The 26,072-nt window shown below is 49.2% G+C and overlaps 2 protein-coding genes across 6 annotated transcripts in view, besides 5 other annotated features; one reads left to right on the forward strand and one right to left on the reverse strand.

Moving 5' to 3' along the window:
- ACLY (ATP citrate lyase) overlaps nt 1–2,621 on the reverse strand; it is a 63,629-nt gene extending 61,008 nt beyond the window's left edge. The window contains exon 1 of the mRNA XM_005257395.2: nt 2,434–2,621. The gene's annotated coding sequence lies outside the window, so the exon portion shown is untranslated. The remainder of the gene's footprint in view (nt 1–2,433) is intronic.
- Nucleotides 1,816–2,719: an enhancer, noted in NCBI's record as "H3K27ac-H3K4me1 hESC enhancer chr17:40085993-40086896 (GRCh37/hg19 assembly coordinates)". NCBI's record gives its function as "activates a minimal SCP1, AML or CMV promoter by ChIP-STARR-seq in naive H9 embryonic stem cells {active_cell/tissue: H9 hESC(naive)}" and the evidence as "EXISTENCE:reporter gene assay evidence [ECO:0000049][PMID:30033119]".
- Nucleotides 2,432–2,521: an enhancer, noted in NCBI's record as "active region_12175". NCBI's record gives its function as "activates an Ori minimal core promoter by ATAC-STARR-seq in GM12878 lymphoblastoid cells {active_cell/tissue: GM12878}" and the evidence as "EXISTENCE:reporter gene assay evidence [ECO:0000049][PMID:35858748]".
- The window catches only part of ODAD4 (outer dynein arm docking complex subunit 4), a 35,887-nt gene continuing 12,507 nt past the window's right edge, over nt 2,693–26,072 (forward strand). For 2 of the 5 annotated variants that reach the window (NM_031421.5, NM_001350319.2), the window contains exons 1-9: nt 2,693–2,913; nt 7,293–7,424; nt 7,675–7,825; nt 8,549–8,610; nt 8,838–9,003; nt 10,633–10,857; nt 11,041–11,248; nt 17,212–17,298; nt 21,229–21,425. In NM_031421.5, coding sequence (NP_113609.1) covers nt 2,800–2,913; nt 7,293–7,424; nt 7,675–7,825; nt 8,549–8,610; nt 8,838–9,003; nt 10,633–10,857; nt 11,041–11,248; nt 17,212–17,298; nt 21,229–21,425 — 1,342 coding nt within the window. In that variant the 5' untranslated portion in view covers nt 2,693–2,799. Of the gene's footprint in view, nt 2,914–7,292; nt 7,425–7,546; nt 7,620–7,674; nt 7,826–8,548; nt 8,611–8,837; nt 9,004–10,632; nt 10,858–11,040; nt 11,249–17,211; nt 17,299–21,228; nt 21,426–26,072 lie in introns of all 5 variants that reach the window. The other 3 variants (NR_146622.2, NR_146621.2, NR_110662.3) reach the window with 3 other exon arrangements.
- Nucleotides 2,702–2,801: an enhancer, noted in NCBI's record as "active region_12176". NCBI's record gives its function as "activates an Ori minimal core promoter by ATAC-STARR-seq in GM12878 lymphoblastoid cells {active_cell/tissue: GM12878}" and the evidence as "EXISTENCE:reporter gene assay evidence [ECO:0000049][PMID:35858748]".
- Nucleotides 7,519–8,099: an enhancer, noted in NCBI's record as "NANOG-H3K27ac-H3K4me1 hESC enhancer chr17:40091696-40092276 (GRCh37/hg19 assembly coordinates)". NCBI's record gives its function as "activates a minimal SCP1, AML or CMV promoter by ChIP-STARR-seq in naive H9 embryonic stem cells {active_cell/tissue: H9 hESC(naive)}" and the evidence as "EXISTENCE:reporter gene assay evidence [ECO:0000049][PMID:30033119]".
- Nucleotides 18,638–18,789: a silencer, noted in NCBI's record as "fragment chr17:40102816-40102967 (GRCh37/hg19 assembly coordinates)". NCBI's record gives its function as "represses an EF-1alpha promoter that drives an FKBP-Casp9 reporter gene in an ReSE screen in K562 erythroleukemia cells {active_cell/tissue: K562}" and the evidence as "EXISTENCE:reporter gene assay evidence [ECO:0000049][PMID:32094911]".

Genomic DNA, 26,072 nt, shown 5'->3' on the forward strand with positions numbered 1-26,072 from the left:
TCAGGAGTTCAAAACCAGCCTGGGCAACATGGCAAAACCCTGTCTCTACCAAAACAACACAAAAATCAGCTGGGTGTGGTGGTGCGTGTCTGTAGTCCCAGCTACTCAGGAGGCTGAGGTGGGAGGGTGGCCTGAGCCCAGAAAGCAGAGGTTGCAGTGAGTCAAGATCTCACTACTGCACTCCAGCCTGGTGGACAAGGCCAACTCTCTCTCAAAAAATAAAAATAAAAATTAATTAAATACATATTTACATTAAAATATTTCCAGTTGATTTTTGTATATAGTGTGAGGTAAGGATCAAGGTTTTTTATTTTGGATTTTGTCTTTCCATATGGCTATCCAATTGCTTCAGCACACATTTGTGGAAAAGAGTATCCTTTCTCCATTGAATCTCTTTGGCAACTTCATTGAACATCAATTGATCATATATGTGTGGATCTATTTCTGTTCCATTAATCCATATATATTTACATATTTATGCTAATACCATTACCGTAGCTTTAAAATAAGTCTTGAAATCACAGAATTTAAGTTCTCTTTTGTTCTTCTTTTTCAAAATGGTTTTGGCTATTTTAGGTCTTTTGCATTTCCACATAAATCTTAAAATCAGCTTGTTAATTACTGAAAAAAAAAAAAGGCTGCTGGGGCCAGGCACAGTGGCTCATGCCTGTAATCCCAGCACTTTGAGAGGCTGAGGCGGGCAGATCACCTGAGGTCAGGAGTTCAAGACCAGCCTGGCCAACATGGTGAAACCTCATCTCTACTAAAAATACAAAAAATTAGCTGGGCATGGTGGTGTGCACCTGTAATCCCAGCTACTCAGGAGGCTAAGGCAGGAGACTAGCTTGAAACCGGGAGGCGGAGATTGCAGTGAGCCGAGATCACATCACTGCACTCCAGCCTGAGTGACAGAGTGAGACTCCACCATAAAAAAAAAAAAAAAAAAGCTGCTGGAGTTCTGATTGGAACTGCACTGAATCTGTAGATCTCTTCCTTGCAGGAGGTTTTTTTCTGATTAATCCTGGTTGCTCCAGCAACAGTCCTCAACTCATCAATGAGCCCACCTTAACTTAGAACAGGACCAGTTTCACTGCAGGTCCTTAAACCTGTTGCTGCTCCTTAAACACCCTGTGAATGTACACACCTCCAGCCTTTGCACATGTTATTTCCTTTTTTTTTTTTTTTTTTGAGACAGGGTCTTGCTTTGTTACACAGGCTACAATGCAGTGGCCCAAACATGGCTCACTGCAGCCTCGACCTCCCACGCTCAAGTGATCCTCCTGCCTCAGCTTCCTGAGTAGCTGGGACTACAGGCACACGCCACCACACCCAGCTCACTTTTGTATTTGTGGTAGAGACAGGGCTTCGCCATGTTGCCCAGACTGGTCTCGAACTCCTGAGCTCAAGCGATCCTCCCACCTCAGTCTCCAAAGTACTGGGATTACAGGCATGAGCCACCACACCTAGCTCTCATTCTCTACTTACGTCTACTGGGCTCCACCATACTCACCCTCAGCTCAAATATTACCCCTCTATGAACATGTCTCTAACCCATCCCAGACCCTGGCTGAATCATTCATTTGCCTGGGTTTCACACCACTTTGTCCTCATCTCCCTCACAGGCACACAGAACTTTTAATTACTAGTTAATATCACTTAAGTGGCCGTTACTTGTTTATACATCTTTCTCCCCTATTAGATAAAACTCCTTCAAGCAGGGACCATATTATTTCTTATATTTTGAATTAAACCTTTTGAGATAATCATAGATTCATATGCAGTTCATAAGAAATAAATACAAAAGAGATCCCATGTACCCTTTTCCCAGTTTCTCCCAATGGTAACATCCTTAAAAACTTTAGTACAATAACACAACCAGAAAATTGACACTGATACAATCCACTGATCTTACTCAAATATCCCCAGTTTTACATGTATGCCGTGTGTGTGTGTGTGTGTGTGCATTTGTAGTTAAAGACATCTTTTTACTATTTAAACTTTAACAATGACATTAGGACGTTTTGGAAGTAACGTAGTAAAGGCAGTTAAGCAAGCTACTTAGGGTATCGTTGGAGCCCAGAAGAAGCACCTAGTCCACTTTTGGAGGAGTGGTGATGGTGAGGGAATGGGGAAGGACGTCAGAATATGCCTTGGTCAAGGCCCGCTACTAGTAGCTGCTCAAATAACTGCGTTAAATTATGTTGAACCCAACGTTATTTTCCATGTTTTCTTATGCAAATCCTCGCATCCCTGAGTGTTCCATTATTTTCATATTTATTTGGCAGGTGGAACATTCGAGGCTGGGAGCCCTTACATGCCCCGCGAGAGGTCACGCAGTTAGGAAGTGACAGGAGCGAAGTCAGCCCAAGTCTGCTGACTCCAAGCCCAGTGCTCTCTCCCCCTAATGGCGGTACGCCGTGCACATATCCTTACCACGTATGCCTCATCCCTATTCGGAACTTTGCCTCCAACCCTCTTCCTGTTTTCTTGGCTGTCTTACAAGGGAGCCTTTTCAGGCAGCAACTCCAGAGAGAACCGCCAGAGCGTGCAACAGCAAACACTAACCAGCCCAGCCGTCAGCCACGCAATCATCACTCCCTGGCCCAGTGCGCGGCAGAACTGGCGCAAGCGCACGCCGGCAGGTTGTACCCAGAATCCGGGCCCTTGCCAGACGGGGGCGGAACCGGAAGTCGCTGTACATCTCATGGTTGCTAAGAAACGGAGCTTCCACAAACCAGATAGAGGTTCTCCAGCTTTTCTTTGATTGTCTCTGCTTTAGCGTCTCTAAATCCGGTCACCATGTCGGACCCCGAAGGCGAGACCTTGCGAAGCACCTTTCCCTCTTATATGGCCGAAGGCGAGCGGCTCTACCTGTGCGGGGAATTTTCTAAAGCCGCGCAGAGCTTCAGCAACGTGAGTCGAGCTCTCAACCTATCCATCACCCCATCACCCGTCACTTTTTTTTTTTTTTTTTTTTTTTTTTTTTGTGACGGAGTTTCGCTCTTGTTGCCTAGGCTGGAGTGCAATGGCACGATCTCGGCTCGCCGCAACCTCCGCCTCCCGGGTTCAAGTGATTCTCCTGCCTCCACCTCCCAAGTAGCTGGGACTACAGGCGCGTGCCACCATGCCCGGCTAATTATTTTGTCTTTTTAGTAGAGATGGGGGTTTCACTGTGTTGGCCAGGCTGGTCTCGAACTCCTGACCTCGTGATCCACCCGCTTCGGCCTCCCAAAGTGCTGGGATTACAGGCGTGAGCCACTGCGCCTGCCCCCTGCCCTCACCTTTTGATTGCAGATAACACTGAGGTCTTGATGATGCCTGGAGGACCCTGTTGTTTCTATTATTCACTGATTTTTGATGGACACACTGCTGTCACAGATAAGCCCTGTGGTTGGCCATTTTCTACCAGTTCCCACTTGCAATCTCCATTCTCTGCGTTAACAGTGACCTTTTCCTCCACTTTTACTTAAATGTTTCATGATTAACCGGCCTCCTTCCACAGAGCAGCCTTACCTTCCCATCATTTGCTGGCAGATTGGATGGGAGGTTGCATGCAGAAGCCTCAATGTCCCCAGCACACCGTTGCTTATAAAAGGTGGCCAGTAAGCAACATATGATTATTATTATCAATTTTGAGACAAAGTTTTGCTATGTTGCCCAGGCTGGAGTGCAGTGGCAAGATCTCAGCTCACTGCAACTTCCGCCTCCCCAGGTTCAAGCGATTTTCCTGCCTCAGCCTAGGGAGTAGTTGGGATTACAGGCATGTCCCACCACGCCTGGCTAATTTTTGTATTCTTAGTAGAGACAGGGTTTCACCATGTTGGCCAGGCTGGTGTCGAACTCCTGACCTCAAGTGATACACCTGCCTCGGCCCCCCAAAGTGCTGGGATTACTGAGGTGAGCTGCTGCACCAACCAGCAACATTATTATAGTAACCCTAGTATAAATTGCATCATCCCACCCTAAGGGGATTGGGTGATGGTTTTTGTTGTTGTTGTTGTTGTTGTTGTTGTTGTTTTGGAGACGTAGTCTTGCTCTGTCTCCAGGCTGGAGTGCAATGGTGCGATCTTGGCTCACTGCAACCTCCACCTCCTGGATTCAAGTGATTCTCCTGCCTCAGCCTCAGGCACACTGCTAAGCAGACTGGATTTTTGTTGTTGTTAAGATGGAGTTTTGCTCTTCTTGCCCAGGCTGGAGTGCAGTGGCGCAATCTCGGCTCACCCCAACCTCCACCTCCCAGGTTCAAGCGATTCTCCTGCCTCAGCCTCCCGAGTAGCTGGGATCCCAGGCATGCACCACCATGCTCGGCTAATTTTGTATTTTTAGTAGAGACGGGGTTTCTCCATGTTGGTCAGGTTGATCTCGAACTCCCCACCTCAGGTGATCCCCCCCCACCTCAGCCTCCCAAAGTGCTGGGATTACAGGCGTGAACCACCCCACCCAGTGCATACTCAATTTTATAGATTAGGAAATATACAGAAGTTGAGCAACATGCCCAAGGTCGCTAAACTAGCAAGTGGCAGAGGAAGGATTCAAAGCCGGGCTCAGACTCCAATGCTGAGGTGCTAACCACAAAACTACACATCTGACATCTGCATAAGGAAACTGTTGTTTTTTTTTTGTTTGTTTGTTTTTTCAGAGACAGGATCTCGTTCTGTCTCCCAAGCTGGAATGTGGTGGCACAATCACAGCTCAATACAGCTTCAAACTCCTGAGCTCAAGTGATCCTCCCACCTTAGTGTTCCAAGTAGCTGGAGCTACAGGCTTATGCCACCACGCCTGGCTAATTTTTTCTTTTCTTCTTTTTTTTTTTTTTTTTTGTAGAGATAGGTGTTTTGCTATGTTGCCCTGGCTGGTATTGAACACTTGAGCTCAAGTAATACTCCCGCTTTGGCCTCACAAAGTGCTAGGATTACAGGTATGAGATACAGTGCCCTAAAAACATGTTTTTATGACCATTTCTTTTGCTCCAAATTGCCCACTTCTTCTGCTCCAAATTGCCCACTTCTTCTTCTAGATGGAGTGATAGGATAACCCTGTAGTTTTGAGACTTCCTGTAAGATCAAGCTTCTCAACAGCTCCCCAGAGTCGTTTGTCCCTTTCAGTCACCAACCACACCCTAAAACCAGAAATGATGACCAGATAAGTGAACAATTGAGTTCGGTAGCCCTGTCCCCACTTATTCTCCTCCTGCTGGATCATGTCCCATCCTGAAGTACCCACCAGCAGAGAAAAAAGAACACCCTGAGGGAAGGGTAGCCTTGGATGAGAAGCAGTCACTTTCCAGAAAGACAGTAGCTACTTCCTCTTCTTAGAAAAGTAGGAAGGTCTTAGAAAGGGGTGGGTACCAGGAGACAGAGGGTTGCAGTGAGCCAAGATCATGCCATTGCACTCTAGCCTGGGCAACAAGAGTGAAACTCTGTCTCAAAAAAAAAAAAAAAAAAGACCAGGTCAGGTGGCTCATGCCTGTAATCCCAGCACTTTGGGAGGCCAAGGCAGGTGGATCACCTGAGGTCAGGTGTTTGAGACCAGCCTGGCTAACATGGTGAAACCCTGTTTCTACTAAAAATACAAAAAATCAACCGGACGTGGTGGCGAGTGCCTGTAATCCCAGCTACTCCGGAGGCTGAGGCAGGAGAATTGCTTGAACCCGGGAGGCGGAGGTTGCAGTGAGCCGAGATCGTGCCATTGCACTCCAGCTTTGGCAACAAGAGCAAAACGCCATCTCAAAAAAAAAAAATTAGCCAGGTGTGGTGGCGGGCACCCGTAGTCCCAGGTACTCGGGAGGCTGAAGCAGGAGAATTGCTTCAACCCGGGACTCGGAGATTGCAGTGAGCAGAGATCGTGCCACTGCACTCCAGCCTGGGTGACAGTGTGAGACTCTGTCTCAAAAAAGAAAAAGGGGGGTGGGTACAGTTAGATGCCTCAGGAAGGACAGTACACCACAGACTATGGTAATCATCTCACACAGAAAAGAGGACACTGGGAGTGGGGATATTGCCCTCAACCCCACTTTAGGGTCAAAATCAGTTTCATTTTCCTAGCATTTTCTTTTTTTTTTTTCTTTCTTGTTTTTCATTTTTCTTTTCCCTTTCTTTCTTTTTTCTTTCTTTCTTTTTTTTTTTTTTTTTTTTTGAGACAGCGTCTCACTCCATCACCCAGGCTGGAGTGCAGTGGCATGATCTCAGTTCACTGCAACCTCTGCCTCCCAGGTTCAAGCGATTTTCTTGCCTTAGACTCCCGAGTAGCTGGGATTACAGGTGCTTACCACCATGTCTGGCTAATTTTTGTATTTTTAGTAGAAATGGGTTTCACCACGTTGGCCAGGCTGGTCTCAAACTCCTGACTTCAAGTGACCCACCCACCTTGGTCTCCCAAAGTTCTGGGATTACAGGTGTGAGCCACTGCACCCGGCCTCTTTTTGTTTTGTTTTGTTTTGTTTTTTGAGACAGAGTCTCATTCTGTCACCCAGGCTGGAGTGCAGTGGTGTGATCATGGCTTATGCAGCCTCGACCTCTCCAGGTTCAAGCAATCCTCCCATCTCAGCCTCCTGAGTAGCTGGGACTACAATCATGGACCACCACGCCCAGCTAATTTTTTTGTATTTCGTAGAGACAGGGTTTTGCCATGTTGCCCAGGCTGGTCTCAAACTCTTGGGCTCAAGCGTTCCGCCCACCTCGACCTGCCAAAGTGCTGGGATTACAGGTGTGAGCCACCACTCCCAGCCTTTTCCTGGTATTTTCATCTTAATCCCCGGATATAGTGATTAGTTCTTGATTAGCTACATAAAAAGAGAAGGCTACTGGAATGGTTAAGCCACATGGCAGATTGTCCTCAAGTCCACTTCAGAATGCTTAGCCTTTGAAATTTGCTTTGAGTATGATGTGTTGCCATTTCAGGTTTGTAGTTGAGTTTGGTGTGCACAAAATACCCTACAGTTCTATTGCCTGAGGGGACTGAGGGGCTCTCAGACATTGGTGGAAAGTCAGCGTATCCACAGAGCAGCATATTCCTACTCTTCAGCCAGTGGCTTCCACAATAGCCATGATTTGACCTTGTTCAAGGTGAGCCATATGCAGATAATCAAGTTGACTGAGCGCAGATCGGAGTTGTTCTGCTTAGGAGCCAGAGGCCTGTGTGCTGGCCTGAAGAATCCCCTTGATTCTTCAGAGCCTTGATTTCTTCAGAGCCTGAAGAAATCCCCTCTGCAGGAGGGTTTGGGCTGCCCTTCCCACTCCAGCTTCTACCTTGCTCTTCATGCTGGCTGTCAACCTGACTGGTTTCTTTGTCAGGCTCTTTACCTTCAGGATGGAGACAAGAACTGCCTGGTTGCTCGCTCAAAGTGCTTCCTGAAGATGGGAGACTTGGAGAGATCCCTGAAGGATGCTGAGGCTTCGCTCCAGAGTGACCCAGCTTTCTGTAAGGTGACTGCATGGGCGGGAGGACTGGATCCTGCCATTGCCTGTAGCAACTTCTGGTTACAAGTAGTTGTTACAAGTAGAACCAGCCAGACTGCCTAGTGTTTGATGCCATTTTCTCTTCCTAGGTCATTGCCTAAGTCCCTGCCCCCTGTATTCCAACCTTGACCTTCAACCCAGGACCCTTCTGTTCCACCACATGTGAGTCCTATAAGGCCTTATCTGTTCACATTGATTTGATTTCCTCCCATTCCAGGGGATTTTGCAAAAGGCTGAGACACTGTACACCATGGGAGACTTTGAGTTTGCCTTGGTATTCTATCATCGAGGCTACAAGCTGAGGCCTGATCGGGAATTCAGAGTTGGCATTCAGAAAGCCCAGGAAGCCATCAACAACTCAGTGGGAAGTGAGTGACCACAGGGCCTATGCCCTTATCCAGGAAGGTCCTTGGAATCCTTAGGTTTAGAGGAAGGTTGAGTCACAGCAGGTGAGCAGCCACCACCAGGCCCGCAGGGAGTCCTACACCTGGATTTGGCTGCTGCAGTGTTGTTGAGGATTAGCCGGGCATGGTGGCGGGCACCACCTGTCTGCTGGGAGGACCATTCCCTGATGCACACACTGATCTCTGAGCGCTGCAGCCTTGGGTTTTCCTAAAGGTCAGATTAGAAGGGCTGTTTCAAAGTAGGCCTGTCTTTAGCCTGGTGTCAAAAGCTATAATGCGGTCCTGAGCCCAGCCTTCTATAGTCCCTGGCTTCTTTCCTCACCAGACGCATACCAAGGGCTGGCCTTAGCCATCAGCATTATGGCAGGGGGAGAAGGGAAGCAAGTGAGAGCAAGTGAGAGCTTGCTCTGTCGGTGGCAAGGCCTGGAAATGGACAGTTTCCCCTGCATCCTTGGCCTCCCTTTGTTTGGAAATCTGGCTGCCATAGCCTTGGGCTAGCGGGGGCTGTTAGCTCCTAGGAGTTATACCAAACAGCCTGCACCATTTGCCTGCTAGGCTGGCTTAGGGCCAGCTTTGCCACAGCCTCCACCATCCCCCTGCCAAAGGCAGCCATTTCTACATAAAAATATGTGATAAGTCATGCCTGGGGGGTCTGGCCGACCTGAGCTCCAGCTTCTTTCCTTGCAGGTCCTTCTTCCATTAAGCTGGAGAACAAAGGGGACCTCTCCTTCTTAAGCAAGCAGGCTGAGGTAAGGGCCCTGGTTCTGTGGTTGTATCCCTCCAAGGGAAGAGGCTATGTGTGCCTGAGAAGGGGTCTTGGGAGTCTAGCTGCAACCTGACCAGGCATACTCCGTGACTCTTGGCCCACAGAAAGGTCCTGGAGTTGGAGGAATCTGGGATCACAGACCCTAGGGCCATGGCTGGGTACACTCTGCTCCTTGCTGAAGCTCTGTTGGGTGTTGCTCCATTTTCTCAGAATATAAAAGCCCAGCAGAAGCCTCAGCCCATGAAACACCTCTTACACCCCACCAAGGGAGAGCCCAAGTGGAAGGCCTCGCTCAAGAGTGAGAAGACTGTCCGCCAGCTTCTGGGGGAGCTCTACGTGGACAAAGAGTATTTGGAGAAGCTCCTATTGGATGAAGGTTTCGGACACTTTGTTGGCACGGGGCCTTGGGGGAAAGGAAATCTGGGTGGATGCTTCATGCATGAGCTGAAGGCAGAACCTGTCATATAATATTAGCTGACGTGTACCTGTGGACAGGTTTTATTAGCATTCTCATTTTACAGATGAGGAAACTGAGGCGCAGACCAACAGAAACTAAGGTCATATATAGGTAGGCAATGACATGGCTTATATTCGAATCCAGGAAGTCCAATTTTAGAGCAATGCTCCTAAGTGCTATGGTACCCTGGGAGGGAACAACAGAGATTTGGTCTCCTTTACCACCATAGTCCCTGAAGGGACATCCCCTTTGCCTTCAATCCTTACAATGGGCAAAGGAATCCAGCGGATATGTGCTTAAATCCGAGGATATTAGTTCTAGAATGCTCTGAAACATCATCTGGTCCAAGTTCTCCTTTTGTAGATAAGGAAATAGAGACCCTGATTGGGAAGGAACTTTCATAAGTTGACAAACAAGTTCATGGTGGAGTCAACATCAGAACCCAGGCCTCTGACCTCCAGTCCAGTGCTCTTTCTTTTAAAGACAGAGTCTTGCTCTGTCACACAGGCTGGAGTGCAGTGAAGCAAATTCGGCTCACTGCCACCTCCACCTCCTGGGTTAAAGCGATTCTCCTGCCTCAGCCTCCCTAGTAGCTAGGACTATAGGCGCCCACAACCACATCCGGCTAATTTTTTGTATTTTTAGCAGAGATGGGGTTTCACCATGTTGGCCAGGCTGGTTTTGAACTCCTGACCTCAAGTGATCTGCCCACCTCGGCCTCCCAAAGTGCTGGGATTACAGGTGTGAGCCACTACACCTGGCCAGTCCAGTGCTCTTTCCACCACACTGCTGCCAGTGACAGGATGAAGGACAGAAGCCTGAGATGAATGTCCCACATCAACATGGGGATGGGAGTATTGCCATTAGCTGATAAGCCTGAGCAGGGTCACCTGTGAATCAAATGCCTCTTCTCCAGAATTGGCTTCCCAAGGTCATGTGTAGGGTTCCCTGTTCTGTGACACAGGAACAGCTTCACTGCTGGCACATCTCCTTAGCAACAGGCCTGAATGCCTCCTATTCTCCAGAGGACCCGCTGCGGAGGGAAGAGGTGGCTTGAATATTACCTCAAGTGGCCTTGTAGCTTTGCTTCTGGCTGTAACCTCTGGCCAGGCAGTGGGCAGGACTTGGGCACCCGCCTTCCAGCTTCCAGCATGCACAGGCCCACTGGGCACCTGGGAAATCACTGGGCACTGGCAGCCTGGGCCAGATCGTGCATTTAGACTCAGTGTTATCTGAGGACACAGCTTGAACTGGGGAAGCCCCGAGGCTTCTCAGCGAGCCATCCACCAGCTGCCCCTTCTGGCTAGCTCCTCATATCTTGCCATAAGGGGCCCATAGCATGGAACTCCCTGATAGTGGGGCTCTGGCTGCCTCCTGGCCTGGATAAACCCACTCTGCCACTATGCGCACTCACACTCCTCTCTGTTTCAACAACTCCAAGCAGAGCAAGTTCACAGAGGGCCCTGCAGCGGCCACCGGGAGGAAACAGGAGGCAAATCCCTTAGAGGCCTGTTCTCCTTGGCGCCTCCTCACACCCCTTCCCCACAGACCTGATCAAAGGCACCATGAAGGGCGGCCTGACTGTGGAGGACCTCATCATGACGGGCATCAACTACCTGGATACTCACAGCAACTTCTGGAGGCAGCAGAAGCCGATCTACGCCAGGGAGCGGGACCGGAAGCTGATGCAAGAGAAATGGCTGCGGGACCACAAACGCCGTCCCTCACAGACAGCCCATTACATCCTCAAGAGCCTGGAGGACATTGATATGTGTAGGTGTTGTTCTCAGAGGGTGGGGCAGGTGCCTCCAGTGCCTTATCAGGTGGGGAAGGAGCAACCAGGTGTCTGAGCCCCTGGTCTCTCAGACCTGCAGATGGTGTCTGCAGGAAGAGGAGTTACCCTGTCAGCTAAGAGGAGGCTGCCCTGGCCTCCACAGCACCCCTTTCCTTTCTCAGTGCTCACAAGTGGCAGTGCTGAAGGGAGTCTTCAGAAAGCTGAGAAAGTGCTGAAGAAGGTACTGGAATGGAACAAGGAAGAGGTACCCAACAAGGATGAACTGGTTGGAAACTTGTATAGCTGCATAGGGAATGCCCAGATTGAGCTGGGGCAGATGGAGGCAGCCCTGCAGAGCCACAGAAAGGACCTGGAGATCGCCAAGGAATAGTGAGTGCCCTAGGGGAGGCCACTGGCGTGAGCCTACGGAGAAGGACACCTGGGGCTATCTGAGGCCCTTGCCAGGGCTGCTGGTGGCTTGACTCCCATTTTCTGCTCTGCATGCCTGAGGTAGATTCTCCTGGAGGTGGGGACCACCTGCCCAGGACTGAGGGTGGGGGCACCTAGACTGTTAGCTTTTTTGCCACCAAAAGGGTAGTGGCTCAAAATTCCAAAAAGCTACCCAATGATCTGGCTCTTAGGGATGTTTATATTCTTACATCAGCTTAACGAGCATGCATGAAGCCCCAGACATGCCAGATGCTGCTAGTGTGGGAACACAGTAATAACCAGACACAAGGGCCATTTCCCTGCAGATGTCAAGCAAAAAGGGACATAGCTAATTAATTGCAATTGTGATAAGTGCCATGAAAGAAAAGTACAGGATCCAGTGTGGTGAGAAATACATTCCAGGAGGACTTGATGACATTGGGGAACACACAGGGCCTATGGAAAGGCCCTGAGACAGGAGGGTACTTAAGCCTGGAGAGCACAGCATATTGCCAGGGAGAGGGGCCAAGAGGAGGCTGAAGGAAGTGGGCAGGGGATGGATCAAGCAGGGTCTTTTAAAACCGGTGCTGATCAAGAGCACGGGCTGTGGAGTCAGGCAGACCTAGGCTGTGGAACTTGCACCGCCCAGCCGTGGAACCTGAGATAAGCCACTTTAGCTCCCTCAGCCTCAGGGTCTCCTCCTGTTAGCTGGGCACCCTGTAGGGCAGAAGGGAGGATGAAATACAGAAGTACCTGTGCAGACCTTAGGACAGTGCCTGGTATCCACAATAGTAGTAACACCAGCTCTCCAGAAATGAGATCTTCTCAAGACTTGCTGACTTCCACCCGGAGGTTCCATCGCTTTCTCAGCATCCTGGTTCTACCCTTTGGAGTCATTCTTGACTTCCTCCTGCCTGGTTTCTACCCATCTCACCAGTCTGAGCCTCCTTGATCTCCCATCATCCCATTTGCCCTCACAGTGCCCAGCCCTCAGCCGACCTGAGTCCTGCTGCTTCCCCTGCCTCTGCTGTCTCTCTCCAGCTCCTCCCACAAATCTCCAGAGACACATGCTATGAACTCTCCCTCCCCTGCTCACAAGTGGGCCTGGGCCCCTCACTGCCTGCAGGTTAAAGGTCAAGCCCCTTTGCTTGGCCCTCAGGCCCTCTCTAAACCCACCCTGGCCCTCTTATAGCAATCTTCCCTTGGGGTCAAACGTTCCTGAACATTCCTGCCTCCTGCCCTTTCCTCTTCACTGATCCAAGCCCCATATGCTTTCCATTCCCAGTTCATTTCTCGCCTGCCTCCACTGTGCTGAGCAGGAATATCCCATACTGGCCATCCCATATTAGAAAAAAATAGCTTTAGGGACAGACCTGTCTTCGATCCCTGTCTTCTAACTGGCTCTGCCACTTAGAAGCTGTGTGGATTTGATTAAGTTGCTCCTCTACTCAGTTTCCTCATCTCTAATGAAGGCATAATAATACCAACCCACAGGGACTGTGGGGATTAGATGTGATGTATATATATGGTACCTTGGATCCAACCATCTCCCATGCACAAATGAGTTAGAAATCTTTACTTCTCGCCAGACCTCTCTCCTGAGCCTCAGACCTGTGTGTCCAGCAGATTCTAAGACATTTCCATCTGGATGTCCCACAGGAATCCTAAACTTAACATGTCCAAATCGGAATCCCTTATCTTCCTCCCAAACTTACTTCTTGAGGGTTCCCCATCCCCGAGGATAGCACTGTTGGCCACTGAGTCCCAAGCCAGAAGACCGGAGGCTTCCCAGATACCTCCTTCCCCTCTCTGTTTTTGCCATATCGCTCAAGTTGGTCTGGATGACAGGCGTGAGCCACTGCGCTTGGCCCCCTCACTGTTCATGCCCAGCAATGGCCATGTCTTGTCCTGTCCATACTTTCTCTGTTTCCCTCCCACAACTCAGTCCAGACCATCCTTACTTCTTGCCTGTTTCCTCTGACCTGGGCTTCCTACAGTTCAGCTGTCCTTTCTCTGAAAAACAACTCCTGTGGTTGGGATGAAATTTCAATGCCCTGCTCAACACAGGTTGCCCTTCTTCACTTGACTTCTCCTGGCCTGTCTTGACCTGGCTTTCTCCAGGCCCCCAGGCATTCTGGGCCCCAGCCAGTGCAGAGCTCTGTGCATATCCTCCAGCCCCAGGAATGCTTTCCCTTTTCCCAGCACTTGCTTTATCAAGCTGCCGCCACCCATTCTTCAACATTTCAATAAAGGTTGAAAAGCCTGCCTCCTAGCCTGAGCGGTGGCTCACGCCTGTAATCCCAGCATTTTGGGAGGCCAAGGTGGGTGGATCACGAGGTCAGGAGATCGAGACCATCCTGGCTAACACGGTGAAACCCCATCTCTACTAAAAATACAAAAAAAATTAGCCGGGCGTAGTGTTAGCCGGGTGTGGTGGTGTGCGCCTGTAGTCCCAGCTACTTGGGAGGCTGAGGCAGGAGAATGGCGTGAACCCAGGAGGCGGAGCTTGCAGTGAGCCGAGATAGTGACTGGGCGACAGAGCGAGACTCCGTCTCAAAAAAAAAAAAAAAAAGAGAGAAAAGAAAAGCCTGCCTGCTGCCCCAGGGGTTACAAATCCCTCCCCTAGGCTCCCTCTCCACAGGTAGCCTTTCTGTCCTGTTAGACTTTGGACTTTGGAAGGTGCTATTCCCAGCATCTGCCACACAGTGGGCATGTAATGAATGTGTGCTAAGTGACTGAATAATTTGAGATGGAGTTTCACTCTTCTTGCCCAGGCTGGAGTGCAATGGAGTGATCTCGGCTCACTGCAACCTGCAACCTCCGCCTCCCTGGTTCAAGTGATTCTTCTGCCTCAGCCTCCCAAGTAGCTGGGATTATTGGCAGCCCGGCTAATTTTGTGTTTTTAGTAGAGATGGGGTTTCACCATGTTAGCCAGGCTAGTCTCTAACTCCTGACCTCAGGTGATCCGCCCACCTCAGCCTCCCAAAGTGCTAGGATGACAGGTGTGAGCCACCATGCCCGGGCTATTAGTTTTTAACATCCACAAATGAGCCTCACCCAGGCTTACTCCAGTCTTCCTTGTGAGTCCCATGTGCTCCAGGAGCTCCCTCATTCTAATCAGCCACTTGCTAGATTAGCCACTTACTAGTCTAAGTGGTTTTTTCAGTGCCCACGGCACTCATTTATTTCTCTGAATAATCTATAAATTATTTGATCACATGCTTTATTTTTGCTATTATGATTTTTAGTACATATTGTTATGAAAAATGGACATATTACAGCTTATTCACTCATTCAACTCGCCAGAACAGAGTACCCACTCTAGAAGAGGGGATCCACTCCGACGGGCTGTGACAGCAGCAGGTGCACAGTGTGGCCCAGGGGCCAAGGAGACAGGCAGGTGGGAGCTTGGCAGGGGCCTCAGGGAAGGCAGCAGGGTCAGCAAGGTGGGCAAGGGGGAGGGAGAAGGGGACCTTGGGCAGGGCAGAAAGATGTGGCAGGGATGGAGGACTTGGAGAACCATAGGTAGGTTAGGTGTGGCAGGGCTAGGGACCAGGGCCTGCAGGCAGTGGGAGGTCTGGATGCCATGCCTCGAAACCGGTTCAGCCCTCAGGCACTGAGGCCCAGTGTTTTTGTGTGTGTGTTTTGTTTTTTTTGTTTTGTTTTTTAGCAACAGGGTATTGCTCTGCTGCCCAGGCTGGAGTGTAGTGGTGCAATCATATTTCACTGCAGCCTCCAACTCCTAGGCCCAAGCAATCTTCCTACCTCACCCTCCTGAGTAGCTGGGTCTACTGGCATGAACCATTGTGCCCGCGTTTTGTTTTTACACAAGTACTATAATGTCAGGCTTGCAGGCTTGAACCAGAACTGCGTGGTACTGAGAGCAAAACCTGAAAGTTGTCCCCCGCAACCCACTTCCCGTCACTTCCCAGGATGATGTTGTTGGAATGTGTCCTCTGGCTCCTTTTCAATGTGTTTACCTACATACTCATGTACATATGCAGGATTTTTTAAAACCAAAGCAGTTCCTTGCTATTTTTTTATTTTTTTAAAAAAGAATATGTCTTCCTCTCAAATATAACCACAGGCCAAGCACAGTGGCTCATGCCTGTAATTCCAGCACTTTGGGATGTCACACGTGTCCATGTGAAGAGACCACCAAACAGGCTTTGTGTGAGCAACAAGGCTGTTTATTTCACCTGGGTGCAGGCGGGCTGAGTCCGAAAAGAGAGTCAGCAAAGGGTGGTGGGATTATCATTAGTTCTTATAGGTTTGGGATAGGTGTACAAAATACATTCTTAAGGGAGGGGGAGAATATTACAAAGTACCTTCTTGAGGGTGAGGGAGAATATATCGTATCAGGGTGGAGCAGGAACAAATCACAATGGTGGAATGTCATCAGTTAAGGCTATTTTCACTTCTTTTGTGATTCTTCAGTTACTTCGGGCCATCTGGTTGTATACGTGCAGGTCACAGGAGATATGATGGCTTAGCTTGGGCTCAGAGGCCTGACATGGGAGGCTTAGGCAGGAGGATTGCCTGAGACCAGGAGTTTGAGAACAGCCTGGGCAAATTAGTCAGATGTGGTTTCTTGAGCATATAGACCTAGTTACTCAGGAGGCTGAGTCAGGAGGATCCCTTGAGCCCAAGAGTTTAAGGCTGCAGGGAACTATGGAGGCCAGGGGTTTGAGACCAGCCTAGGAAACGTGGCAAAACTCCATCTCTATTAAAAATACAAAAACTGTTGGGAGGCCGAGGCGGGTGAATCACGAGGTCAGGAGTTCAAGACCAGCCTGGCCAACATGAAGAAACCCTGTCTCTACTAAAAATACAAAATTAGCCAGGCGTGGTGGCACATGCCTGTAATCTTAGTTACTCAGGGAGCTGAGGCAGGAGAATTACTTGAATCCTGGAGGTGAAGGTTGCAGTGAGCTGAGATCGTGCTATTGCACTCCAGCCTGGGCCACAAGAGTGAAACTCCGTCTCAAAAAAAAAAAAAAAAAATTAGCTGGGCGTGGTGGCATGTGCCTGGAGTCCCTGCTACTCAGTGGCTGAGGCATGAGAGTCACTTGAACCCCGGAGGCGGAGGCTGCAGTGAGCCAAGATTGTGCCACCGCACTCCAACCTGGGTGACACAGCGAGACTCTGTCTCAAAAAACAAACAAACCCCAAACACACATACACACACACACACACACACACACACACACACACACACACACACACACACACACCCCCCCGCATACACAGAAATTGCCTTTCTTAGAGCACTGATAACATTTAGATTATTTTTTTTGGCCAGGTGCAGTGGCTCACATCTGTAATCCCAGCACTTTGGGAGGCCAAGGTGGGTAGATCACCTGAGATCAGGACTTTGAGACCAGCCTTTCCGACATGGCGGCAAGCTTGTCTCTACTAAAAATATAAAAATTAGCTGGGTGTGGTGGCGGGCACCTGTAATCCCAGCAACTCAGGGGCTGAGGCAGGAGAATTGCTTGAACCCGGCAGGTAGAGTTGCAGTGAGCCAAGATCATGGCACTGCCCTCCAGCCTGGGCAACAGAGTGAGACTCTGTCTCAAAAAAAAAAAGTAATTATTTTTAATGCTTATTATTATAAACTGTGCTTTAATGACTGTTCTTGTCACATTATCTTTTTGAGGTAGATTCCTAGAAAGGCAATTGCTGGTTCAAAGGGACATCTTTGCAAGCTGTTGATTGATTACTCTCCAGAAAAGTCCTGATAATGTTCATTCTTGGCCCCAGGGCACAGATGTGCCACATCCTTGCTGGGCTGGACATTGTCCCTCCAACTGAAACCCTGAGTTTCTGAGGCCAGGGCTCCTGTCTTTGCCTTCTTTCCTATTTCCACAGTGCCTAGAACAGCTGATTTCTAGTGAATGGCTTGTTTTGCTTCTTCCCCACAGTGACCTTCCTGATGCAAAATCGAGAGCCCTTGACAACATTGGCAGAGTTTTTGCCAGAGTTGGGAAATTCCAGCAAGCCATTGACACGTGAGTGACCAAGAATTGCCTCTTCCCCACCTCCATGGTTAGAACTTCTCACCATAACATGAAAATTTGTTTCCGGTAATAAGAATCCAGCCTGGGCAACATAGGAAGACTCCCTCTCTACAAAAAAAAAAAAAAAAAAATTAGCCGCGCATACTGTCCTGTGCCTGTGGTCCCAGCTACTTGGGAGGCTGAGGTAGGAGGATTACATGAGCCTGGGAGGTTGAGGCTGCAGTGAGACATGATCACACTACTGCACTCCAGCCTAGACAATATGTTACCAGTGGAAGGTATCCAAGTTATTGCCGGTGAATCTGTACAGGTCTGCAGCAACCTCAATTCTTGCCTCCTCAGAAGAAAGAATTTGAATGAGGAATGGGAATTTATTAAAAAGCTAGGCCGGGCGCAGTGGCTCATGCCTGTAATCCCAGCACTTTGGGAGGCCGAGGCAGGCGGATCACTTGAGGTCAGGAGTTCGAGACCAGCCTGGCCAACATGGCAAAACCCTGTCTCTACTGAAAAAATACAAAAATTAGCCGAACACGTTGGCACGTGCCTGTAGTCCCAGCTGCTCGGGAGGCTGAGGCAGGAGAATCGCTTGAACCCGGAAGGCGGAGGTTGCAGTGAGCTGAGATCATGCCGCTGCACTCCAGCCTGGGCGACAGAGCAAGATACAGTCTCAAAAAAAAACCTTTAGGGCAGGAAAGAAAGGAACGTATACTTGGAAGAGACCCAAGTGGGCACTGAGAAGGACAAATGCAGTGTTGGTGTTTAACCTTGATCCTAGGACTTTACAAACTGGCCCCTTTCCCCTGATTCTTCCCTTAGGGTTGGCTGCCCATATGTGCAGTGCCCTCCTTACCCTTGGGAGGTGAGCACGCACAGTGTGTTGAGGAAGTGGCATGCATGCTTATCTGAGGCTTTCTTCCTCTCACCAGTGGAGTGCCCCCCGAAGGTCAAGCTCCACCATTTTGTCTCTTAATGTGCATGCCTGGGAAGTTGCTTCTCCCTGGCACCTACATTCAGTTAACACTTTAGTGCGACAGGTGTGGACCATCAGGAAATGCCCTCTCCATGACACTGGCTGCCAATTTATCACTTTTTTTTGTTTGTTTGTTTGTTTTGAGACGGAGTCTCACTCTGTCACCCAGGCTGGAGTGCAATGGCACAATCTCAGCTCACTGCAACCTCTGCCTCTAGGTTCAAGCAATTCTCCTGTCTCAGCTTCCCGAGTAGCTGGCACTACAGGCGCCCGCCACCACGCCCAGCTAATTTTTGTATTTTTAGTAAAGACGAGGTTTCACCATATTGGTCAGGCTGGTCTCAAACTCCTGACCTCAGGTGATTCACCCGCCATGGCGTCCCAAAGTGCTGGGATTACAGGCGTGAGCCACCGCACCCAGCTCAATTTATCACTATTTTATTTTATGTTATGTTATGTTGTTTTTATTTTTATTTTATGTTATTTTATTTTTGAGAAGGAGTCTCACTCTGTCACCCAGGCTGGAGTGCAGAGGCGTGATCTCAGCTCATGGCAACCTCCACCTTCCAGGTTCAAGCGATTCTCTCCTGCCTCAGCCTCCCAAGTAGCTGGGACTACAGTTGTGTGCCACCATGTCCGGCTAATTTTTCTTTTCTTTTTTTTTTTTGAGACGGAGTCTCGCTCTGTCCCCCACGCTGGAGTGCAGTGGCGTGATCTCGGCTCACTGCAAGCTCCACCTCCCGGGTTCACGCCATTCTCCCGCCTCAGCCTCCTGAGTAGTGGGGACTACAGGCGCCCGCCACCACGCCTGGCTAATTTTGTATTTTTAGTAGAGACGGGGTTTCCCCGCGTTGGTCAGGCTGGTCTCCAACTCCCGACCTCAGGTGATCCGCCCACCTCAGCCTCCCAAAGTGCTGGGATTACAGGCATGAGCCACTGTGCCCGGGTGTGCATTTTCCAAATTAATATTTTAATAATAAGCGCAGGCCAGGCCGGGCGCGGTGGCTCACGCCTGTAATCCCAGCACTTTGGGAGGCAGAGGCGAGCGGATCACAAGGTCAGGAGTTCGAGACCAGCCTGGCCAACATGGTGAAACACTGTCTCTACTAAAAAAAAAGAAAAAAAATACAAAAGTTAGCCAGGCATGGTGGCGTGCACCTGTAATCCCAGCTACACAGGAGGCTGAGGCAGGAGAATTGCTTGAACCCAGGAGGCGAAGGTTGAAGTGAGCCGAGATCACGCCACTGCACTCCAGCCTGGGTGACGCAGCAAGACTCTGTCTCAAAAAAATAAATAAATAAAAAATAAGCACAGGCCAGGTGTGGTGGCTCACGCCTGTAATCCCAGCACTTTGGGAGGCCGAGGTGGGCGGACCTCCTGAGGTCCGGAGTTCAGACCAGCCTGGCCAACGTGGGGAAACCCCGTCCCTATTAAAAATGCAAAATTAGCCAGGCGTGGTGGCACACTCCTGTAATCCCAGCTACTCAGGAGGCTGAGGCAAGAGAATCACTTGAATCTGGGAGGCGGAGGTTGCAGTGAGCTGAGATGGCGCCACTGCACTCTAGCCTGGGCAACAAGAGCGAAACTCTGTCTCAAAGAAAAAATAAAATAAAATAAAATAAAATAAAAATAAAATGGCTGGGTGCGGTGGCTCACGCCTGTAATCCCAGCACTTTGGGAGGCTGAGGCGGGTGATCGCCTGAGGTCGGGAGTTCAAGACCAGCCTGACCAACATGGAGAAACCCCGTTTCTACTAAAAATACAAAATTGGCCAGGTGTGGTGGCACATGCCTGTAATCCCAGCTACTTGGGAGGCTGAGGCAGGAGAATCACTTGAACCCGGGAGGTGGAGGTTGCAGTGAGCAGAGATCTTGCCATTGCACTCCAGACTGGGCAACAAGAGCAAAACTCCATCTCAAAAAAATAAATAAATAAAAATAAAAATAAAAAATATTAATTTGGAAAATACAGAAAAATAGAGAAAAGTATTCAGTCTCACCACCCAAAGACAAGTACTAATTCTAATCCTACTCTTTTATTGATACTGTGTTTTTTCATTCCAATCTTTTTTGTTTTGATTTTTCTCTCATATATTCTTAGTAATTTTTTTCTTTCTTTCCTTTTTTTTTTTTTGAGACAGGGTCTCACTTTGTCACCCAGGTGGGAGTGCAGTGGCACGATTATAGCTCACTGCAATTTCAACCTCTCAGGCTTAAGCGATCCCCCTACCTTAGCCTCCCAAGTAGCTGGGCTACAGGCGCACACCACTGTGCCTGGCTAAATTTTGTATTTTTTTGTAGAGATGGGGTTTTGCCATGTTGCCCAGGCTTGAACTCCTTGGCTCAAGCAATCCACCCACGTTGGCTTCCCAAAGGCTGGGGTTACAGGAATGAGCCACCATACTTGGTAATAATATTCTTAAACATTATTTATGTTGTGTGTATGTGTGTGTGTTTTGAGATGGAGTCTTGCTCTGTCACCCAGGCTGGAGTGCAGTGGCATAATCTTGGCTCACTGCAACCTCCACCTCCCGGGTTCAAGTGATTCTTCTGCCTCAGCCTCCCGAGTAGCTGGACTACAGGCGCCTGCCACCATGCCTGGCTAATTTTTGTATTTTTAGTAGACAGACAGGGTTTTGCCAGCTTGTCTAGGCTGATCTCGAACTCCTGACCTCAGGTGATCTGCCCACTTCAGCCTCCCAAAGCGCTAGAGACATGAGCCACCACGCCAGCCTCAACTGTTGTATTAAATTCCACATTCCATAGGTGTTACCAAAATAGTCTCAGTAGTCTTAAAATATCTTTATGCTTATGAACTCCACCCTTGTATCCAAAAGAACTGGTAGCTGGAGAACAAGTTTTATTCCGCCACCCAGCAGGAAGCCTTGGCATCCTGTGGCCCAGTGCATGGTTTTGGGGGATGAAGCTGACTCTGGTTCTTCATGTCCCCAGGTGGGAAGAAAAGATCCCTCTGGCAAAAACCACCCTGGAGAAGACCTGGCTGTTCCACGAGATCGGCCGCTGCTACTTGGAGCTGGACCAGGCCTGGCAGGCCCAGAATTATGGCGAGAAGTCCCAGCAGTGTGCCGAGGAGGAAGGGGACATTGAGTGGCAACTGAATGCCAGTGTTCTGGTGGCCCAGGCACAAGGTATGGGCTCAGAGATGACCACCCTACCTTTTCCAGCCTTCAGGCCCAGCTCACACCAGGGCTAGGAGTCTTGTGGACTGAGTTTACCATCCCAGTGTTTCTCCTTCCCAGATTATTCTGAGAGTGGGGATAAGCCACTCTATTTTGACCAGCACGTGGTAAGTGCTTTCATTAAGCAAAGCTTGGTTAGAGCTTGGGGTACCTTGAGCCTACCTCTGCCCTTGAGGAGGTCAGCTGCAGACCCACACAGCATCGTGTCATCCTCACAACAGTGCCCATGTATTGAGCCACTTTCCTTCTGCCTTGGTACTTTTTTTTTGTTTTGTTTCATTTTGTTTTTGAGACAGAGTTTCGCTTTTGTTGCCCAGGCTGGAGTGCAGTGGTGCGATCTCGGCTCATTGCAACCTCTGCCTCCCAGGTTCAAGTGATTCTTCTGCTTCAGGCTCCCAAGTAGCTGGGATTACAGGCGTCTGCCACCACACCTGGCTAATTTTTTGTGTTTTTAGTAGAGACAGGGTTTCACCATGTTGGCTAGGCTGGTCTCAAATTCCTGACCTCAGGTGATCCAAACGCCTCGGCCTCCCAAAGTGCTAGGATTACAGGCGTGAGCCACCATGCCCGGCCCTGTTTTGTTTTTTGAGACGAAGTCTCACTATGTTACCCAGGCTAGACTGCAGGGGCACGATCTCAGCTCACTGCAACCTTGGCCTCCCGGGTTCAAGCGATTCTCCTGCTTCAGCCTCCAGGGTAGCTGGGATTACAGGCGCGCACCACCACACCCGGCTAATTTTTGTATTTTTAGTAGAGACGGGGTTTCACCACGTTGGCCAGGCTGTTCTCGAACTCCTGACCTCAGGTGATCCACCCGCCTCAGCTTCCCAAAGTGCTGGGATTACAGGCATGAGCCACCACACCCAGCCAGCATTCTTGTATTGAATCATTATGATGTAGGTAGGCATTATCATCCTTATTTTAGAGATAGGGAAACTGAGGCACAGAGAGGTCCAGTAGACTCCCCAAGTCCTATGAGGGAAGCTTTTTTTTTTTTTTTGAGATGGAGACTCACTCTGTCACCCAGGCTGGAGTGCAGTGGCGCGATCTCAGCTCACTGCAACCTCTGCCTCATGGGTTCAAATGATTCCTGTGCCTCAGCTTCCTGAGTAGCTGGGATTACATGTGTGCACCATAATACCCAGCTATGTCTTTGTATTTTTAGAGATGCAGTTTCACTATGTTGGCTGGTTTCAAACTCCTGGCCTCAAGTGATCCACCCACCTCAGCCTACCAAAGTGCTGGGATTACAGGTGTGAGCCACTGCGCCTGGCCGAGGAAACCTTTTATTTTTTAATTTATTTTATTTCTTTATTTTTATTTTTTGAGATGGAGTCTTGCTGTGTCACCCAGGCTGGAGTGTAGTGACACAATCTCGGCTCACTGCAACCTCTGTCTCCTGGGTTCAAGCGATTCTGCTGTCTCAGCCTTCCGAGTAGCTGGGATTACAGGCGTGTGCCACCACTCCTGGCTAATTTTTTTGTATTTTTGTAGAGATGGGGTTTCACCATGTTGGTCAGGCTGGTCTCGAACTTCTGACCTCAAGTGATCTGCCCGCCTCTGCCTCCCAAAGTGCTGGGATTATAGGCATAAGCCACTGCACCCGGCCTCCAAGGGAACCTTTCAGAGTGATGGAAATGTTCTAAAATGGGATTGTGGTGGCCACTGTACAACTCTGTAAATTTTCTTCTTTTTTTTTTTTGAGATGGAGTCTTGCTCTGTCACCTAGACTGGAGTGCAGTGGCACAATCTTGGCTCACTGCAACCTCCGCCTCCCGTGTTCAAGCTATTCTCCTGCCTCAGTCTCCTGAGTAGCTGGGATTACAGGCGTGCGCCACCACACCTGGCTAATGTTTGTATTTTTAGTAGAGACGGGATTTCACCAAGTTGGTCAGGCTGGTCTTGAACTCTTGACCTCGTGATCTGCCTGCTTCAGCCTCCCAAAGTGCTGGGATTACAGTTGTGAGCCACTGTGCCCGGCCTCAACTCTGTAAATTTTCTCAAAATCATTGAACTTTATCCTTACAAGCCGGTGAACTTTATTTATTTATTTTTTTGAGAAGGCGTCTCACTCTGTTGCCCAGTCTGGAATGCAGTGGCGCGATCTTGGCTCACTGCAACCTCCGCCTCCCGGGGTCAAGTGGTTTTCCTGTCACATTGAGATAACTTTAAATTACATACTCAGTTAAAAATTAGGCTGGGGACAGGCACGGTGGCTCACGCATGTAATCCCAGCACTTTGGGAGGCCGAGGCAGGTGGATCACCTGAGGTCAGGAGTTTGGTACCAGCCTGACCAACAAGGTGAAACCTCGTCTCTACTAAAAATACAAAAATTAGCCAGGTGTGGTGGCACACGCCTGTAGTCCCAACTACTCGGGAGGCTGAGGCAGGAGAACTGCTTGAATCCAGGAGGCGGAGGTTGCAGTGAGCCCAGATTGCGCCACTGTGCTCCAGTCTGGGTGAAAGAACGAGACTCTGTCGCAAAAAAAAAAAAAAAAAAAAAAAAAAAAATTAGCCTGGCCATAGTGGCTAACACTTATAATCCTGGCACTTTGGGAAGCCAAGGTGGGAGGATCGGTTGAGCCCAGGAGTTTGATACCAGCCTGGGCAACATAGGGAGATCTCATCTTTACAAAAAATAAGGCAACTTAAAGAGACCTCATCTCTACAAAAAATAAAAATTAGGGCGGGGCACAGTGGCCCATGCCTGTAATCCCTGCACTTTGGGAGGCCAAGGTGGGCAGATCACAAGGTCAGGAGTTCAAGACCAGCCTGGCCAACATAGTGAAACCCCATCTCTACTAAAAATCCAAAAAATTAGCCGGGCGTGGTGGTGCATGCTTGTAATCCAAGCTGCTCGGGAGGCTGAGGCAGGAGAGTTGCTTGAACCTGGGAGGCGGAGGTTGCAGTGAGCTGAGATCGTGCCACTGCACTCCAGTCCAGGCGACTATGAGACTCTGTATCAAAAAAAAAAAAAAAAAAAAAATTAGCTGAGTGTGGTGGCAGGCACCTGTGATCCCAAATATTTGGGAGGCTGAGGTAGAAGGATCACTTGAGCCCAGGTTGAGACCGCAGTGAGCCATGATCATGCCACTGCATTCCAGCCTGGGATACAGAGCGAGGCCCTGACCCTCACTCCAAAAAAAAAAAAAAAAAAAAAAAAAAAAACAGAAAGAATGAAAGAATAATCCTGAATGATTTACTCTCTTGAATAAGCATGTGACTCTTCTGCAGACCTTTAATGTCAGAGTCCCACTGGTCTTGAAAGGAATACTGCGACTCCACATATTTTCAGAATTACACTTAAATTTCCTTTAAGTGTAATAGCCTTTTTTTTCTTCTTTTTTGAGATAGAGTCTTGCTTTATCACCCAGACTTTAGTGCAGTGTCACGTCCCTGCATTCATGGCTCACTGCAGCCTCAACCTCCCAGGCTCCGGTGATTCTCCCTCCTCAGCCTCCCCAGTTGCTGGGACCACAGGTGCATGCCACCATGCCTGGCAAATTTTTTTTTTGGTAGAGAACGGGGTCTCCCTATGTTGTCCAGGTTGTTCTGGAACTCCTGGGCTCAAGCAGTGCTCCCACCTCGGCCTCCCAAAATGCTGGGATTACAGGCATGAGCCGCTGTGTCTAGCCAAGTGTAATGGCGTTTTATTTTATTTTATTTTATTTATTTTTGAGATGGAGTTTCGCTGTTTCACCCAGGCTGGAGTGCAGTGGTGCAATCTCAGCTCAGTGCAACCTCTGCCTTCCGATTTCAAGCGATTCTTCTGCCTCAGCCTCCCAGGTAGCTGGGATTACATGCGTCCACCACCATGCCTGGCTAATTTTTGTATTTTTAGTAGAGATGGGGTTTCACCATGTTGGCCATGCTGATCTCAATCTCCTGACCTTGTGATCCGCCTGTCTTGGCCTCCCAAATTGTTGGGATTACAGGTGTGAGCCACCGCGACTGGCTGTAATGACCTTTTAAAGTCTGACTTATGAACACAAGGGCTTATTTTCCCCATGGGTCTCAAAGCAGTGCTTGGGAGGAGGATAGATCTTGGATATACTCAATTGTAAAAGAAAGCAGTGGTTTGTGAAGACCTTGGCTGGTAAGCACTTTCTCCTTTATGAAGCTCTTGGCTAGGTGAGGTGGTTCACGCCTGTAATCCCAGCACTTTGGGAGGCCAAGGTGGAGGATTGCTTGAGGCCAGTAGTTCGAGACCAGGCTGGGCAACATGGTGAGACCCTGTCTCTATTAATTTAATTATATATATATATATAGAGAGAGAGAGAGAGAGAGACAGGGTCTCACTCTGTCACCCAGGCTGGAGTGCAGCAGTGCAATCTGGGCTCACTGCAACATTGACCTTCTGGGATCAAGGGATCCTCCCATCTCAGCCTCCCGAGTAGCTGGGACTACATGCATGCGGCCTCACACCCAGCTAATTTTGTATTTTTGGTAGAGATCGGGTCTCACTATGTTGCCCAGGCTGGTCTTGAACTCCTGGTTCAAGTGATCCGCCTGCCTTAGCCTCCCAAAGTGCTGGGATTATAGGTGTGAGCCACCGCACCTAGCCTATGTATGTATGTATTTATTTTTAATTAATT

Source organism: Homo sapiens, chromosome 17 (genome assembly GCF_000001405.40).
Source record: "Homo sapiens chromosome 17, GRCh38.p14 Primary Assembly".
Classification (NCBI taxonomy): Eukaryota; Metazoa; Chordata; class Mammalia; order Primates; family Hominidae; genus Homo; species Homo sapiens.